The following is a 19,863-nucleotide window of genomic DNA, read 5'->3' as shown; positions in this document are numbered from 1 at the left end:
AATAATTCTCATATCTTAAACCAGAATGAAAACATATCTCAATAAAAGGGAGGGGATAAACGTTTGGAAATGTTTTTTAAGGTTGAGACACTTTCAACTTCTCAGAGGAGAACAACTTCTCACTTTCAGGTATAAAAACTGAAGCTCTCATTCCTCATTAACAGAATAATGTCTTTTCTTTCAATTGGCCTTCCCTCAGCTTAGGGTTACTCTGTGAGCATGTGTAATATGTATTTCTCTAGAATTGGTATCATCACATCTTGCTAATTTCATACTCTAGGAGTATAGATGCTTTAGGGTGCTGGTGAGATTGCAAATGGAAGATGGATTGTGATTTTGGCCCTTTCTGCTCAAATATTCCTACTTCTGCTTATGTAAAACACACACACACACACACCACCACACACAATTACCATTACAAATTATTCATTCATTTGGATTTCAATGGCTTTTCAGGACATCTTTATTTCAGAATACAGAAAAGATAACATCTTAAGTCTCTGATTCTCAGAATTGTTCACAGAAAGCTCTTTAACCATCTTGTAAGGTTTGATTTGTAGCAGTAAACATGCTTCTTCATTAAACAATATGTTTAGAGTTATCCACAATAAATCCTATGGATATTTTAAGAAGATATTCACAATATCAAATTTAGTGTTTGAAATTCTTTACTACTGGAGGCTGCGGTGGGGGGCACAGCTACAGGATTTGTTTCGAGACTGTAGATAGCGAAGATGATGTACGATTCCAGTTTGAGAAGTATAACCTCCAAAGTCATTTTCTTTAAAGTACCTATTAGGATTCAAGTAGAGAGAATTGAAAGGCCCTGGGAGAATGTATCCAAACTCACTTACTGGCCCTCAGAGGGAAGCATCAGCAGCCAGGTGTCAGAAGTGACAGTTGGAATAGATCATGAGGGAAGCCAAGGGAACTAGAACTTTTAAAATCCTTTTATATCTGTTTCACAATTTTCCAAGAGCTCATACACACACAGCTATATTCTAGGCAAAGAGACTGAGATTCAGCTGCACTTCCTTGGGTCCTTACCCCACTTGGTCTATTGAGATTTGGACTCCCACATAATTTTAAATGAATTTAATGGCCAATAGAATAATGATCATCATTATCCTATGGTTAATCATTGCAAAACTATTATATCCTGGATATCAGTATTTATCAAAACTTTTCTTTAATCTTTTTTTCTTTTTTTTTTTTTTACTTTAAGTTCTGGGATAACAAAAACTAATATTCCATTTTGGTAAATGTAAAAATCTCATACATGCCACCTCTAGAAGCTCACAAACCTTCCTAAGCACACTCCTACAAACACACACACCACTAACTACTGAAAAATCGCAACCTCCATCTGGAAGAAAAAAATACTCTGGAGCTATATTTTTCATAGTTTCTGTTAGAGATACTATGGAGTTTTTTCCATTTTTCAAATGGAAAATGATATTTTAACATTGCATATTCATTTCCTGCCACAACCTGCTACTCCTAGGATCTTCTCCTTTCCCTCTACAGGATGTTTTACCCCTAATTGGCACCTTGGGGTACACTGCCTTAGTAATTTGACTAAATATAATGGGAGATAAAGATAGTGTTGCCACACTGAATATACTCTCAAAATTTCAGACTCTTGTCATCAAATTTAGTTACCCAGCCTGTGAAATTATGGTCAAGAAGATATGTCCATGTGTGAAGCATTTTCTTAATTTGGATTGTTATCTGAAATACACATTGGGAATTGTAATTTTTCAGTTTTGTTAACATACTAAAAACCCTGAATAACTATTTATGTATATTTGATGACTGATACTGCCCTTAGAGTATAAACAGTAAAGTGAAAAATATTTGACATGTATTTCAAATTTCAGTGGTAATAATATGAATAGAAAGAATACCCCGTACCAACAAGGAACACCTTGTGCCGGTTGCCCTGATGACTGTGACAAAGGACTATGCAGTAAGTTTGAAGTGATTAGCTTGCTATTATTTATTATAGAATTGATATTATCTTTTCTTTATATAATTTAACAAATCTCCTAACGTAATGAATTGAAATAATGTATTGGTGAAAAAACCCAAAATTATTCAACAAAGTATGCTTAAACAAACATTTTACACACTGCAGGAGCTACATATTATTTGTAATGAAAAGCATATTGCCGTATGTAACATAATGGAATATTTATCATCAATGTGTTTTTGTGGCTCTTCAGAGCCATTTAATATTAACCATATACCATTTTGGTAAATAGTTCAATTCTCAAAGTTCATATCACTATACCAAAAGTGGTATTTTAAAGGAATCAAAATGTATAAATCTAAAGTGTGAGACCACATTATGGCTCAGTCTAGACAGGCACGCCAAATATTACTGTTTATTTGTGCTAATGTGTTTGTCATGCTGATTTCCTCACTTCTTTTTTATAGTATAATTAGGATCATAGTGTTTGCCTTAATAAATGATTACTTGCCCTATAATTTCATAATTGTTTTGTGTACATTTTTATGACAAAACTCAATCTATATACAATATTGGCTCATAGAAACTGTGCACATATTTTTGCAAAAGGAGAAAATGAAATAAATACCATATATCTCATTTAATAAATTGCCATGAATAGAAGTAAAAATAGCTGCTGGCTTTCTGTAGTTGGGATACTTTTATTAAAATTATTATGAATGATAAAGTTGACACCATCACTGAAATTTTTACCTCTTCAATGCATTCACCTTTACTAAGCATTTTTTCTGACTCAGTTATATAGCTATATTTCAGAATATTAATGATACCAAAGCTATAAATCAGGCAGAGGTGGGCGGATCACAAGGTCAGGAGTTCGAGACCAACCTGGCCAATACGGTGAAACTGCATCTCTACTAAAAATACAAAAATGAGCCAGGTGTGGTGGTGGATGCCTGTAGTCCCAGCTACTCAGGAGGCTGAGGCAGGAGAATCGCTTGAACCCAGGAGGCGGAGATTGCAGTGAGCCGAGTTCGGCCACTGCACTCCAGCCAGGGCAACAGAGCGAGACTGTCTCAAAAAAAAAAAAAAGAAAAAAATAGTTGAATACTTATACATTTTGCTGAATGCTATTTGCTAACAAGTCTGGAATTCATCTGTCATGGTATCAGCTGGTATCAGCTGCTGTGTCCATGGGATTGCCTGCATCACCCCTCTCATAAACCCTAGGTAACACAGAGGGGAGAGAGACACTGTCCACTTGGGGGAAAGAGAAGGAAGTGTGTGGGGTACTCTGCCTTGGATTTAGTACTGAGCCTGCCACAACAAAACACACACCAGTAAGAAACCCACAGCTCCTAAATCCAGATTGGTATGCAGATTGGTATCCAGATTGGTGGGCCTCTAGACCCACCATAGCACCAAAAAGGAATCCACTGCCCCAGTGGGACAGACTCAAGTCCCAGTACTACTGGTCAACTAAAATGGCCTCAGACCCCAAATGAATTGTAGTAGCTGGAAAGTCATAACAGCTGCTGGCCTTGGGCAAGCCCTGGTTCTGTCCTGGTCTGAGAGTCCATGGGCTTCAGATGCATCAAGGCACAGTGCCAGCTGTGGCATCCAGGGAATTGTCCATGTCACCCTTCTCGTAACCAAGTTTGCAGCAAACCTGGGTTTAGAACATCATCTAATAATGAAATAACTGCCATCTTAGGAGACTTATTCGCTCCTTTAAATTCTTGGAAGGCCTTCTGAAGAAAAACAGGTACAAACAAGCCCAGACTGCAAAGACTAGGATAATTAATTCTTTAGTGCCTAGATATTGAGATAGTAATCCACAAGTTTCAAGAACATTCAGGAAAATATGACCTCATCAAGAGAACTAAGTAAAGTACCAGTGACCAGCCCTCGAAAGATGGAAATGTGTAATCTTTAGGGTACAGAATTCAAAATAGCTGTTTGGAGGAAGCCCAACAAACTTCAATAAAACACAGAGAAACAATTTAGAAATTTATCAGAGAAATTTGAAGAAGAGATTGACATTTAGAAAAACAGAAATCCTGAAGCTGAAAAATACGATAAATAAACTGAAAAAAACATTAGATGGTCTCAACAGCAGAATTCATTAAACAGAAGAATCAGTGAGCTTGAAGACAGGCTATATGAAAAAGAGAAGGAAAAAGAATGAACTTTCTTCATTTCCCTTAGATTGTGGGTGGTGCAGGGAGATCACTGCTGAGAATTGTCAGCCTTTTAGCTAATACAAGGAGTTTAATTTGAGTTTTATTGAGTTTGAGGTCCCTAGGGAACATCCAAGTAGAAACATCAAAAGGAAAAGGGCGTATTGTCCTTGTTTTACACTTTTATCCACCCATAAAGATTATTTACTCAAAAAAAGCATTGGAGTGTAATGCCATGCTGCCCAATATTATGATATGATGGAAAGAGTCTCTATCAACATGTGCTACTAATCACACTTTGAACACTTGAAATGTGGCTAACAAGATTAAGAAACCAAAATTTTAATTTTAATTTAAATACCTCTGTGTGGCTAATGGCTCCCATATTTGGCTGTGCAGGCATAGAAAGATTTAATTACATTCATATTATTCTGCTTGCTGAGGGGGAAAAATAGGTCAATTTATTTTAGAAACATATCACTAAATGTGGAATTTAAAGAGTGATGGATTTATCAGTGAGCTCAACTAAGACACCTCATATGTCCCTGGATCCAGATAGACTGGATTAAGAAAATGTGGCACATATACACCATGGAATACTATGCAGCCATAAAGACATGAAAGACCCATTGTAGTGTAAGCGATGCTAACTTGTTTGTTCCCTCCTACCCCCTCCCCACACACTTTGAATGTATGGTTTTGCTCTTACTGAGGAAAACGATAATGAGTTAACTAATCTGTTTTTGTTACAGCCAATAGTTGCCAGTATCAAGATCTCCTAAGTAACTGTGATTCCTTGAAGAATACAGCTGGCTGTGAACATGAGTTACTCAAGGAAAAGTGCAAGGCTACTTGCCTATGTGAGAACAAAATTTACTGATTTACCTAGTGAGCATTGTGCAAGACTGCATGGATAAGGGCTGCATCATTTAATTGCGACATACCAGTGGAAATTGTATGTATGTTAGTGACAAATTTGATTTCAAAGAGCAATGCATCTTCTCCCCCAGATCATCACAGAAATCACTTTCAGGCAATGATTTACAAAAGTAGCATAGTAGATGATGACAACTGTGAACTCTGACATAAATTTAGTGCTTTATAACGAACTGAATCAGGTTGAGGATTTTGAAAACTGTATAACCATAGGATTTAGGTCACTAGGACTTTGGATCAAAATGGTGCATTACGTATTTCCTGAAACATGCTAAAGAAGAAGACTGTAACATCATTGCCATTCCTACTACCTGAGTTTTTACTTGCATAAACAATAAATTCAAAGCTTTACATCTGCCGTTGTCTTAATGACCTTTCTTTTAAACAAAAGTAATCAGCTTTTCGAACAAAGAACTTTTCTAAGCAACCATATGATATGATTCTTATGCAATATTTATACCATTCATAATTAACTCCAGCTAGATTCATCTGAGATAAATGATAAAACAGCAACATTTTCAAAATAGTTGTCTATAAAGTTAAATTTTAACAAAAAATTAATCAGTTCTACTCTTACTTGCTTTCTCCTTTTTGATATTTTGATCTCCCTACTGGTTTAGTTGATTTTTTTAAAGCCAACGAAAAGAGGACATAATTTAACCAAATATACAAATACAGCCTTCCAAGAAAACAAACAAGTGGAATAATCAATATTAGGTTGGTAACGACAGGGTAAAGTAAGCCCATCTTATAGATGAGAAAACATATACTAAAACTTTTTTTAAAAGTGGAAAGGTTATTGAAAACCAGAAAGTAGATCTGGCTAGACAGATGGTGAAATAGCATGAGCTACTAATGCCTACAGAATTAAACAGATTATCTGAATCATCCTATAACCATTAAGGAAATTGAATTAATAATCTTAAAGCTTCCAAAAAGGAAATTTCTAGGCCCCCAAATGGTTTCACCACATAATTCTGTCAAATACTTAAAAGAATAATTAATAGCAATTTTACAGTTTCTTCCAGAAAATTACATGGGAGAAAATACTTCTTAATTCAGTCTTTAAGATAGTATTATCTTAGTACTAAAACTAAAGACATTTCAACGGAAAAAATATATAGAGAGAGATCTATCGCTATCATGAGCATAGATGAAAAAATTTTAAACAAACATTTAGTAAATGTATCAGCAATATAGTAAAAGGAAAACATACCCTGACACAGACTTGAAACAAATTACAAGAATAAATCAAAATTAAACTGTGTCTAGAAGATAAATTGCCTATTATAGAATATATTCATTGTATATATAGCTCCCCAAGAATTTCTTTGGAAATTGATTTTTTGACAAGATGAGCGTTTCTTCATCCTAATCTTAATAATTCAAGTGTCTTACAAACTATGTTTTAAAATATTTAAGCCTATTTTAGGAGAGAAAAGGAATATTTATATTTGTAACTGCAAGAGCACTGAGGTAGTGTGACAATGTGAGAGAGAAGCAAACAGAATATTCCACTTGAGTGGTTCTCATATGAAGCACTCCGTTATTGGGGTGGCATTTGAAAGGTTTTAAATACAGAGTTTTCTTTAAAATTTTAAGATTAGAGTTAGCTTTGTGGGTGGAAGATCTGATCTGGTCCTTAACAGAAGTGACTAAAAAATAACCTTTATAAATACTTTCAGGTAGTAGGAAAATCTTTGCTATTCTCATAGCATTCTTAAAATTTATCTAACTCTAGTGACTGGTTAAAAAAAAAAACCCTCTATACCAGAATCTTTAAAATTTAATTGCTAATTAAGAGTTACACTCAAAACACTTTTTCTCCCACTAAACTGAACAGTTGTTTTAGTGTAATGTATGTTTTGTCTTATATAATTGAATTTGTATCACTAAGCTTACCTTCATTCTACAATAATAATAGTAAATTCTTAGATACTGTATAGTTATTTAATTTTTCAAAATGTTAATGACGATTTTGATATATACCTTTTTAACCAACGAAAATGTCCAAATCTAAAGTAAAATGTCTTCAGAAATACTCCAAATACCCACAAACATTTGATTTTATAGATTTTGCTGAATCTTTTCCAAAATGAACATTTTCAGTGAACATTATGATATCATTGCTAACTCAAGTTCCTCCTTCATTTGGTCATGTATTAACTATTAATCTGTGTTTCCTTCTACATTCATGCTCCCATAATTCATTGATTTCTGTCATTTGATTGTGCCTCAGCCTATTTCTTTTCATACTTCCTTGCTTTTGTTTATCTTAGTTTTTCTTACTTAATCTGGTCAGAATCGTATTTAATTTTAATTTCAGTCAAATGTTTCATATGAAATTACTCCTTCCTCTTGGATCACACAGGATTTGTTTGGGTTTCTTTCATGAAAACGTGCTTTCTCTATTAAATATTAAGTTACCCCAGGAGAAACCTGTGACTATTTATTCCTATGGCTTGCAGTGCATGCACACTGTGGTGTACATATGGTAGGCTATCATTCAGTATTTACCACATGAATGGAGATGTCTTTATCATCAATTCTGTTCTCAATCAGGTATTGACTAAATAGGAGACAAGATACCTAAGGGTACAGAATATTAAAAACTTTTTTGATAAGCAAACAATATGAATTTTACATTAGGAAAATCCATAACTATGTTCCAAATGCAAGTTCTCTTTAAATTGCTGACTGATATTTATTAATTCCAATAAAGCAGATATAGAAATTTTAAAGATAGAAGATGCTCTTATAAACAGCTGAGAATTTTTTTTAATATACTCATTTTTGTCTTCTGCTTTGAAAACCCTCCCACTGTCCTCTAACTTGGTTTCTCTCTGGAAAGAAAGAGTGATGTGGAAGAGGGTGAATTTATCACCTTTTTGTTAAGAATAGTGAGGAGAGGGGGATTCTGATTAGAACTTAGATTAACCCATACTATCTAAGAATGTGATAAGTTCCTCCATTTACTCAGAGTATACTTTATGTTCTTAGAAAACATTAGAAAATATTTAATGTACATTTTGTTTCTTTTTAATAAAACTTATTCCTAAAAATGTAAAAGTTATGGAGTAAATTTTTAATGATTAAAGCGTTATTGTTATTATTTTTAAAAAAGAAATTTTTATACCTATTTTATATCCAGTCATCTCATTAAACTAATTAGTTTTAGTAATATTTTGAGTTGTTTAGGTAGTAAGTTATTTAAAATACTGCTTGGCACATAATGAGTGATTAATAAACAATGTTATTATCATCCAGGACTCTGCTATATTCCAGTAAAATAGATTAATAACTCAGTGCCATTTTATAGCATTAAAATACATATAAGCAAGAAAATAATAAAAACATAAGTAATTATAGCCCAATATGATAAATACCATACTAGAGGTATATATTAATTTGGTGTTGATTGGGATGTTTTGATGTCTGTAATATAATTTTAAATATGCTAGTATAAAAGGGTCTGTCTAAATATGTGTGGTGGTTTTAAATTATGCTTTAGGAATGGTCATTTTCTTTCATCAGAAATTCATAATCCAGGCTGGGCACAGTGGCTCACAGCTGTAATCCCAGCACTTTGGGAGTCCAGGGAGGGCAGATCACCTGAGGTCAGGATCAGGTCAGCCTGATCAACATGGTGAATCTTCATCTCTACCAAAACTACAAAAATTTGCCGGACGTCATGGCAGGTGCCTATAATCCCAGCTACTTGGGAGGAGGCTGAGGCAGGAGAATCGCTTGAACCCGGGAGGTGGAGGTAGCAGTGAGCTGAGACGGCGCCATTGCACTCCAGCCTGGGCAACGAGAATAAAACTCAGTCCCCCCCAAAAAAATAAAAGAAAAGAAAAGAGAAAATCATAATCTAGGGTGTACAGCTAGTGTTTACTCAGAGCAAACTATAAAGATAATGTAACTGCTACAAATAATTCAACTAATAATACCTTAATCAATATGAGACTTTTTAAATGAAAGTAATGAGATTCAAAAATGCATTTTTGTGGAAATAAGGTAATGTAAAGCAGTCATTTTGGAAAGAGGCTCTCAGCATAGACATTAATGGTATTCAAAATTTTCTACAAAATTTAGAGGCAATCCCCACTCAACAGGTAACATTAACAGAGTAAGATCTGTTTTCGGAATATTTTCTCATCACAATATAATGGCTTTTTGGCCTGTACCTTAAAGCCCAATTAGTTACCAGCTAGGTTGCTAGTAAATGCCCAGTGACTCATTTGTGGCAGATAATATTTTAATGTATTTTCCTAATTGAAAAAAAAAGCATTTTTATTTTGTATTTTATTTGTATTTATATTCTGTATATTTCCCAGTTGACTAGCCTTAAAAAATAAAAAAGAAACATCCTTATCTTAAAGTCTTCTAGTATTAACAGAAGAAGCACCACATAACACAAAAACAAACACGCTTTTCTAAATACAAGGAAAACTGAATCCTGTTCAAGCTTTTCTCCAACTGTAAATATGCATGTCACTTAATTTTTCAGAACCATAGTTTTGTTAATTTGTTTTAAAGATGTAAAACTAAGAGTGAACAGTAAGACTTTGCTTGTCTTAGGACTCATCCATTGCAGGTTGACCTCCCAGAGATGGGACTGACTTCCTTCAAAGCTCCATGGCAACAAGCTATGGCCCAGTGATTGAGACAGTTTCTCAAAACTTGAACATCAGTCCCTCGGCATATCAAAGGAAGGGCTGGTATTTCCCCAGTTGTGAACACAGGTGTGCCTAATACTGTTGTTTATTTGTTACGCCATGTGACTTTAACCATCCGGCTTAGATCCCAGGCCTCTGCTGCATCAGGGGAGGGGTAACTGTCCCCCAAGCCTGCCCCAATCCAGAAAGCAGAGGTACCACAGTGGAACTGAAGCAAGGTTCATTTCACTTCTGATCCTCGCCCCTGAGTACATGAGAGGAGAAACCCACGTTGTGTGATCGTGAAACTTAAAGGCTCCAGGGCTCAAGGATGGAAATCTCTAACAGTCTCATGTCTGAACCTACTGTATCTCTTCACACTGACCCAAATGGTGATGAACAACAGATTAACCCTCTGACCCCTCCTCTATGAATTTTCCCCAGTAATCCCAACTCCAGCAGTTTTGGCATGGGTACTGTGTGGTCATTTGCCCTTGTTCGCATGACAAGAGTTTTGTGCGAGAACACTGAATTTCAAGATTCTAGGAATGAAAAGTTTCTGCATAGAAAATTTAGAAGCTCAATGTGATGCTTCCAGTGATGTCAAAGGACAGGAAGAGTTAGATAATATTACTCCTGGCAGAAAGTGATGTAAGAAAAAGAAATTTTTAGTAGCTTGAGAATGATTCATGCTTTATCAACGTTTATACTACATATGCTAGTTCATATTTATTTATTGAATATGCTAATACATTAATAAAACATTTCACTTAATATTTTATACATTGTATATTTGTTAAGTATAAGATTAAAATTAAAGTTTTAGGCTTATAGACAGTACTGATAATTGTATTTAAAAATTAAAGGCTTTTTTAGGCACATGTGCACAATGTGCAGGTTTGTTACATATGTATACATGTGACATGTTGGTGTGCTGCACCCATTACCTCATCATTTAGCATTAGGTATATCTCCTAACACTCTCCCTCCCCTCTCCCCCCATCCCACAACCATCCCTGGTGTGTGATGTTCCCCTCCTGTATCCATGTGTTCTCATTGTTCAATTCCCACCTATGAGTGAGAACATACGGTGTTTGGTTTTTTGTCCTTGAGATAGTTTGCTGAGAATGATGGTTTCCAGCTTCATCCATGTCCCTACAAAGGACATGAACTCATCATTTTTTATGGCTGCATAGTATTCCATGGTGTATATGTGCCACATTTTCTTAATCCAGTCTATCATTGTTGGACATTTGGATTGGTTCCAAGACTTTGCTATTGTGAATAATGCCGCAATAAGCATATGTGTGCATGTGTCTTTATAGTAGCATGATTTATAATCCTTTGGGTATATACCCAGTAATGGGATGGCTGGGTCAAATGGTATTTCTAGTTCTAGATCCCTGAGGAATCGCCACACCAACTTCTACAATGGTCGAACTAGTTTACAGTCCCACCAACAGTGTAAAAGTGTTCCTATTTCTCCACATCCACTCCAGCACCTGTTGTTTCCTGACTTTTTAATGATCGCCTTTCTAACTTGTGTGAGATGGTATCTCATTGTGGGTTTTTTATTGGTATTTTCATTTTGAAACCAGAGAGGGAAATTTGGCAATATCTAACAAAGTTGCATGTGCATTTATCCTTTACTCTACCAGTCCTTTAGAAATGATCATTAATTCGCTTCTAGCAATTTCATATTGTTGTTCCAAGAATATGAAAATACATATGTGCAAGATTATTTATTAAAATGTTATTTGTATTGGAAATAATCTATACATACACAAAAGGCAGGTTAAATAAACTACAATGCATCCACACAATTGATTATTATGCAGCTTTTAAAATGAATAATAAGGATATTTATGAGCTGATATGGACGTATCTTCAGTATATATTGCTAATTGAAAGACAGCGAAGAGCAAAACATTTTTATAGTATTCTACTTTTTGTATTAAAAAATGATAAATACAAAAAATATATGGCTTCACATTTTTGCAAAATGTTGATGCAACATAGAGTATACTAGAAAGTATTGACACTAGTATACCATGGGTGGCTGAGAATGGGGTGGGCTGGTTGGAGGATGACAATGGTGTAAGAAAAAATGGTTGGGAGGAGTGATATTTCTCTGGGTATTCCTCTTTGTATAGTTTCAGCTTGTGAATTATATTAATGTCTTACATACTCATTAAAATAAAGTATAATTAATATAATTAAGAAGTGGGGGAAAGCCCAAAAACAGGATAGAAACAAAAAACAAACTATATTTCAAATAAATAATCACAATAAAAAGTGGGGGAAAAAACAGCCGACCTAATGAGTATTATAATGCCATATTCCTTCTAGGTAAAGATAAAAACTGCAAACAAATGTTTGACTCCAGTCAATAAAGTTGTGTTTATTTTTACCATAGACACATGAGTTAGTAGTTCTGAAACTGACTATATATGTTACGACTGAACAAATGAATAAATACATTATGAATAATGAGAACCAGGTTTCTCACTATTAGAGAAGGGATTTAAACATATGAGAAAGGAGAATGTAGGAATAAACCCTGTGGTGTTCTATTGAAATTGGTGGTATCGGTATGAATTTATGGTTTTTAACATACAAAGATAAACAGAGCTGTCAGGGAAATACCAGTGAACAAAGTGAGTCCCTGCCTTCATCAGTTGATAATTTTAGAAGTAGGAAATAAGGACATAGACATCTCCAGTCACTGCAGAGACAACCTTTCCTTAGGATCATAAAAATGATTCATAAAATGATACAGTGTAACACCAAAGGGCGGAAATGCTGTCTTACGACTTTCTAAAGGAACACAGTGTGACTTTAAGTTAGAGGAAATTTCAGAAAACACCATTTCATGCTGCTCATATGAAGTGTCCATCTTTATCACTGCAGCATTGGTGGCCAGTGGCAAAGGCAGTGGGGGCTGATGAGGCAATGGCAGCCATGGGAGGCATCCGGGGAGCCCAAAACAGAAACTCATTTGTGAGACCTGGAACTATTGGCAGTGTGCTCACAGAGTTCCCAGGCATCAGAGTCCTTAGCATCCCAGAGCTGTGAAAGAGGCTGGAGTAGAGAGTAACAAAAGGGGATATGCTACAGAGGAGATGAAAGTTCTGTTAGTATGCATGCAAAAAGTCTCTATGAGCCAAAGGATACCCAGTACTAATTGACTGAAAGTTTAGACTTTCTGTCCCTTTCAATAGTAGGTAGAGGGGAAAACTATATAAGTGTGTGTATGTATGTGGCACACAAATCCAAACACATCCACATATAAAAACAATGAGAATGATCTTAAACCCCATGGTATTGAGAAATATGATTGTATAAGATACCCCTAATTTACATGTTAAAATTTTAATGCCATTGGATATTGATTTATTTCAAATTAAGTAGATTTCTTTTTTAAGTTAAGTATGTAAGATATTCAAGAGTAAGAGGTACTAATGATACTCAATACATTTTAATTTTCTTCTCTGCTTCCCCTTAGCACTGCAGAAGTTAATTAGAAAACATACTGTATCCCAGGGGCCATGCTGAATTCCTTATATAGTCGGTCCTCCATATCTGTGAGTTCTACGTCCATGGATTCAACTAACCACTGATCATCAAAAATAGTAGGAAAAAAGTACTATACAGATGGTTGCATATGTATTGAACATGCACAGACTTTTTCTTGTCATTATTCCCTAAAAAATACAATATAACAATTGTTTGTATAGGATTTAAATTGTATCTGGTATTATAAGCAATCTAGAGATGTTTTAAAGTATGTGGGAGGGTGTGTGTAGGTCATAACAAATGCTACACCATTTTATATAAAGGACTTGAGCTTCAGTGGATTTTCGTATCTTCAAAGGGTCTTAGAATAAATCCCCCATTGCTACTGAGGGACGATTATATTCATTTTTGCACTTTATCCTCCCAATATTCCTTTCTCTTTATTTTACGGATGAGGAAACAAGGATAGGAAGATTAAGTACTTTGCCCAGATACAATCAGCCAAGGAACATCAAAGCATGTACTCAGTACAGATATAGTAGGACTCAAAGTCTTATACTTTTAAGCACTACCACAATTCTGCTTCCTGATGAAAACTAAAATTAGCTCATAGCTTGAATGAAAAATATATTCAAACTGGACATTTAATTTGAAAATAAATATTTCCTTTATATAAAGCTCTTAGGTAGATTACTTGTTCTGTATTCATGAAAATGTGTTCACTTTTGACAATGTGACATTTAAAACCTTTAGTTCAATGGTAGTCAGGCTTAGAATATGTCTTTATAAATTACATAGTGACTTAGTCCTATCAACTTCTATATATATATATATATATATATATATATTTTTTTTTTTTTTTTTTTTTTTTTTTTTTTTGAAATGGAGTCTCACTCTGCTGCCCAGGCTGGAGTGCAGTGGCATGATCTCGGCTCACTGCAACCTCCATCCCGCCAGTTCAAGTGATTCTCCTGCCTCAGCCTCCCAAGTAGTTGGGATTACAGGCGCCTGCCACCGTGCCCGGCTAATTTTTGTATTTTTAGTAGAGGCGAGGTTTCACCATCTTGGTCTTGAACTGCTGACCTCGTGATCTGCCTGCCTCAGCCTCCCAAAGTGCTGGGATTACAGGCATGAGCCACTGCGCCCGGCTGTTTCTATTATATTAAAAACCCATAATTATAAAAATGGTGACAAGAAATGGATTAAACCTTGAAGGGTCCTGGTTGGGTGAACATGAAGGAGCCCTTTAGAGTGCTATTTACATAGGTATACACATGTTTAGAAATTAAATGAGCTATGCAATTAAGATTTTGTGTGCTGTATTGTATACACTGCATGTCTCTATTTATTTATTTATTTATTTATTTATTTATTTATTTATTTTGAGATGGAGTTTCACTCATGTCGCCCAGGCTGGAGTGCAATGGCGTGATCTCAGCTCTCTACAACCTCTGCCTTCCGGGTTCAAGCAATTCTCCTGCCTTAGCCTCCAGATTAGCTGGGATTACAGGCACATGCCACCATGCCCAGCTAATTTTTGTTTTTTAATAGAGATGGGGTTTCGCCATGTTGGCCAGGCTGGTTCTGAACTCTTGACCTCAGGTGATCCCCCCTTTTCGGCCTCACAAAGTGCTGAGATTACAGGTGTGAGCCACTGTGCCTGGTAACCTCAACTTGAAACAGGAAGAAAAGAAGGGAGGAAGGGAGGAAGGGATGGAGGGAAGGAGGGAAAGGAGGAAGAGAAGGAGAGAGGGCAGGAATGAGGGAAGGGAGGGAGGAAGGAAGGAAAAAGAAGGAAGAAAAAAGAAAGAAAAAGAAAGAGAAAAAGAAAGAGAAAAAAGAAAAAGAAAGAGAAAGAGACAGAAAGAGAGAGAAGAAAGAAAGAAAAGAAAGAAAGAAGAAAGAAAGAAAGAAAGAAAGAAAGAAAGAAAGAAAGAAAGAAAGAAAGAAAGAAAAAGAAAGAAAGAAAAAGAAAGAAAGAGAAAGATGGAGGGAAGGAGGGAGGTGGGAAGGAAGGAGAAGGAGGAAGAGGAGGAACAGGAGGAATAGGAGGAGGAGGAGGGAGGGAGGGAGGGATGGGGAAGAAGGAAGGAAGAAAGGGAAAGAGAGAAAGAAAATAAATAGATAACTAGAGTATGTTATATGGTTGCTAGAACTAAATCAGGTGTTCAGTTTGGACATGTTGAAAGTGTAGGCATAGAGAAGACAGTTGAATATATAAGGAGGGATTTAGTCTAAAATGGAGATAAAGATTTGAAAATCATCTTTGTATAGACGGCACCTAAAGCCACAATACCACCTGAGATTCCTGGGAAGTAAGTGAAACAATATGCTAAATCCCAGAATTTAAAAAAGTTTGTGAAAATAAGAGCAAAGGTCCACCAAAAGTGTCAAAAACAAGAAGATGAGGAAAGGATGAAATAGTATAGTATAGATGCCAGAGAGACAGATGATTATTTAACTTTTATTTTTTATTACTTTATTTCACGGAGATGGATCTTTAAACTCTACAGCCTGGCACAATTATCTGAAGGAGAAAAAGAATGATCTAACCTGTGAGGACATAGTAAATAATTATTTAAATGCTTGGGGGATATTAAAAAACATTTCAAGGTGATCATGAGATCACTGTCAGTTAACAAGGAATAATGACAAGGAGGAAAGCAACATATTGATTAACATATGACAAATGGAAAGGGCAAAAAAAAATCTTGAAGCTGGGCATGGTGGTGTGCACTTGGAATCCAAGCTACTTAGGAGGCTGAGATAGGAGGATTGCTTGAACTCAGTAGTTTGAGGCCAGCCTGGGAAAAAAATAAAAGAAAACTTTGGCATTAATCTATGAGAAATTCCTCCAATTTAAAGTGATTTCATCATTTTTAAACCATGATATTATATGTAAAACAGTAAAATATAATTTTTAAATTTGCTACACTAAATTTGTTTCTTTTTGATAGTTTATAAATATAAATCAAAATTGATTCTGTTTTATAAATCTATATGTTATTGCCCACATTTAATCTAAAGTTTCAGCAGAATTCATTAAGTACTTTGTTCAAATGTGGGTCTATATACTAATATTATTATGGATATCTTAATCTAGTTGAAAAAATGCTTAATCTAGTTGAAAAATTACTACAGGGCTTAGTAACCAAAACAGCATGATACTGGTAAGTACAAAAACAGATAAACAGACCAGTGGAACAGAATAGAGAACCCAGAATTAAGACAGCACACCTACAACTATCTGATCTCTGAGAAATCTGACAAAAACAAGCAATGGGGAAAGGACTCCCTATTCAATAAATGGTGCTGGGGTAACTGACTAACCACATGTAGAAGATTAAAACTGGACCCCTTCATTAGACCATATATAAAAATTAACTCAAGATGGATTAAACACTTAAATGTAAAACCCAAAACTATAAAAACTCTGGAAGACAACTTAGGAAATACCATTTAGGGCATAGGCATGGGCAAAGATTTCATAATGAAGATGCCAAAAGCAATTGCAACAAAAACATAAATTAACAAATGGGATCTGATTAAACTAAAGAGTTTCTGTACAGCATAAGAAATTATCAACAATTAAACAGACAACCTACATAATGGGTGACAATTTTTGCAAACTATGCATCTGACAAAGGTCTAATATCTAGCATCTACAGGAAACTTAAATTTACAAGAAAAAATAAAACCTCATTAAAAAGTGGGAAAAGGATATGAACAGACACTTTTCAAAAGAAGACATTCATGCAACCAACAATCATACCAAAAAAGTTCAACATCACGGATCATTAGAGAAATGCAAATCAAAACCACAATGAGAGACCGTCTCACACCAGTCAGAATAGCTGTTATTAAAAAGTCAAAAAATAACAGATGTTGGCAAGGTTGTGGAGAAAAGGAATGCTTATACACTGTTGGTGAGAGTGTAAATTAGTTCAGCCATTGTAGATGACAGTGTGGCAATTCCTCAAAGACCTAAAGTCATAAATACCATTCAACTCAGCAATCCCATTACTGGGTATATACCCAAAGGAATATGAGTTGTTCTATCATAAAGACACGTGCACATATATGTTAATTGCAGCACTATTCACAATAGCAAAGACATGGAATCAACCTAAATGCCCATCAATGATAGACTGGAAAAAAGAAAATGTGGTACATATACACCATAGAATATTATGCAGCCATAAAAAAGAATGAGATCATGTCCTATGCAGGAACATGGATAGAGCTGGAGGCCATTATCATTAGGAAACTAACACAGAAACAGAAAACCAAACACCACATATTCTCACTTATAAGTGGGAGCTAAATGATGAGAACTCATGGACACATACAGGGGAACAACACACACTGGAACTTATCAGAGGGTGGAGGATGCAGGAGGGAGAGGATCAGGAAAAATAACTGATGGATACTAGGCCTAATACCTGGGTGATGAAATAATCTGTACAACAAACTGCTATGATACAACTTTACCTATGTAACAAACCTGCACATATACCCTTAATTTAAAATAAAAGTCGGCTGGGTGCAGTGGCTCACACCTGTAATCCCAGCACTTTGGAAGGCCACAGCTGGTGGATCACCTGAGGTCAGGAGTTCGAGACCAACCTGACCAACATCGTGAAAACCTGTCTCTACTAAAAATACAAAAATGAGCTGGGCATGGTGGCACATGCCTGTAATTCCAGCTACTTGGGAGGCTGAGGCACAAGAATCCCTTGAACCCAGCAGGCAGAGGTTGCAGTGAGCCAAGATCGTGCCACTGCATTCCAGTCTAGGTGATAGAGTAATACTCCGTCTCAAAAATAAATAAATAAATAAATGTCAAAAAAAAACAACAACACTGAATCAGAAACTGGGGTAAGATTCAGCAATGTGTGTTCTAACTATGAAAATTTGTGATTGACTGACCTAAGGCATGGAATATGGAAGGCAGACACCAAATTTGACAGACTCCAGTGCAGTCATTAGGGGAGAATATTCCACCCAGGACAGGACTCTTCCATTAACCTTATTGTGAGCTGAATAAAATTCCTCTCAAAACCATTTCCCTTTGCTCTCATTTTAAGTTCAAAAAACAACATTTTTATCACATTGCTTAGCTTTCTAAATAACTTGTCATGATAAAAAGAGGAGTCCTTAAAGGTGAACAGAATCATCCTAATCTTGAACAGGTGGCTAATACTGTACCTTAACTGACAGACTCAAGGGTGGCAAACATCAAAAGCTAGAATGCAGTAGTAACTAAGATGGAATTTAGGTTAAAAATCAATTGTAAAAGAACAAGTTGAGCAATACTTGGTGCATAAGTATCTCATATGACAAAGACTTAGAGCTTTTTTAAGTGCAAAAATGACTTATGACAACAGTATGATAAGACTACCAATGTGTTCATGCAAATCTAAATTGCCTTTATAGGAAAATGTTCACTCAATAAAAGTCTCATTCTAAAGTGCATTGTGCAGAACATAAGCAGAACATTATATTTTATTCTGATATTAAATGTTAACAGAATACTTGAACTGGTGTCTGAAGTATAGTGATAGGGAGGCAAAGTGTATTAAAATTGTCCCATTCATTAGGACATCCCACAGAGCCAACTGGGACACCAATTCTGTGGCATACAACAGACATAAGTAGCTACGATCATTTTGAGGAGTCAGGGACATTCTTATGCTTGCTTTGTTTTTGGCACTGTGGAATATTAAGTGGCCACCTAACCTCTTTTTCAGGTGAAAGACCTTTGTAGGAGGAATTCAAATGAGACAGTATCAACTTGATGCTGCTCCTGCTTAGTGTACAGTGATCAGAAGCGTGTGGGCAAAGACTAGTTCTAATGGTAAAACACATGAGTGCATCAGGCTAGAGATGCTCTTTACCTCCTTCAATTTAAATCCCGATGCTATCACATTTACACTCTCTGCAATTACAAATATCCCAATCCCACCGGAGAAACAGAAAGCCAGGGAGTCGGGGGGAACTAGTTAAGAGATGAGACAGCAAGTTGCACTGGTTATAAATAACTTTCTTTTGTCTCCATTGTACAGATTCGTCTGGGAAAGTGTAATAAGATGGAAATTTTTTCTCCCAAGTTTTATAGAAAAACCATACACTGTAGAAAAGCAATTGGAGTTTATTTAAGCCTCTAGAGTTAGAATGGCATTTCTTGGAATGTGGACCCATGCTGAAATGGGGACACAACACTGCTCATGTGAACTGTGCATGCCTCATCAACCCAATCAGTTTATATAAGCTATTTGGAGTAATAGATGATTTTTCTCTAGTGCCCGCTAAAGCGCTTAGCACCCTGTAGATCCATACTGATGTTCAGGGTATACTTGTTGTGTTGAATTGTTTCTGAACACCTTTCTAGTATTCTATTTTAGATATTATTTTTGTTTTATAATTCTGAATGCAGTTCTTTGGATGTACTCACCCTGCAAGTATGTTATCTCAGAGCTCAGAAGTCCTTCTGAGGTTCCATGGCCCTTCACTCTGAGAGACAGAAACACTGGAACTCCAGCAGAGGAGGTTGCAGAGATCTTTAGTAGGAGTTGCAAGTCTAACATTGATCCTAAACCCA

General features: G+C 35.7%; 1 protein-coding gene across 15 annotated transcripts in view, besides 1 other annotated feature; it reads left to right on the top strand.

Annotated features, from left to right (window-relative positions):
* Positions 1–19,863, top strand: part of CRISP2 (cysteine rich secretory protein 2) — a 37,569-nt gene that overhangs the window by 16,416 nt on the left and 1,290 nt on the right. For 6 of the 15 annotated variants that reach the window (NM_001142407.3, NM_001142417.3, NM_001142435.3 and 3 more), the window contains 2 exons: positions 1,881–1,969; positions 4,905–5,446. In NM_001142407.3, the coding sequence (NP_001135879.1) occupies positions 1,881–1,969; positions 4,905–5,032 (217 nt within the window). In that variant the 3' untranslated portion in view covers positions 5,033–5,446. Of the gene's footprint in view, positions 1–24; positions 130–1,880; positions 1,970–4,904; positions 5,447–13,251; positions 13,379–19,863 lie in introns of those variants that run through there. The other 9 variants (XM_011514841.2, NM_001439002.1, XM_005249356.2 and 6 more) reach the window with 5 other exon arrangements.
* Positions 3,963–4,163: a silencer, noted in NCBI's record as "peak5838 fragment used in MPRA reporter construct". NCBI's record gives its function as "represses an SCP1 promoter by STARR-seq MPRAs in K562 erythroleukemia cells {active_cell/tissue: K562}" and the evidence as "EXISTENCE:reporter gene assay evidence [ECO:0000049][PMID:32103011]".

Source organism: Homo sapiens, chromosome 6 (genome assembly GCF_000001405.40).
Source record: "Homo sapiens chromosome 6, GRCh38.p14 Primary Assembly".
Lineage (NCBI taxonomy): Eukaryota > Metazoa > Chordata > Mammalia > Primates > Hominidae > Homo > Homo sapiens.
The sequence above is the reverse complement of the archived record's forward strand: the minus strand, read 5'-3'. Positions and strand labels throughout refer to the sequence as shown.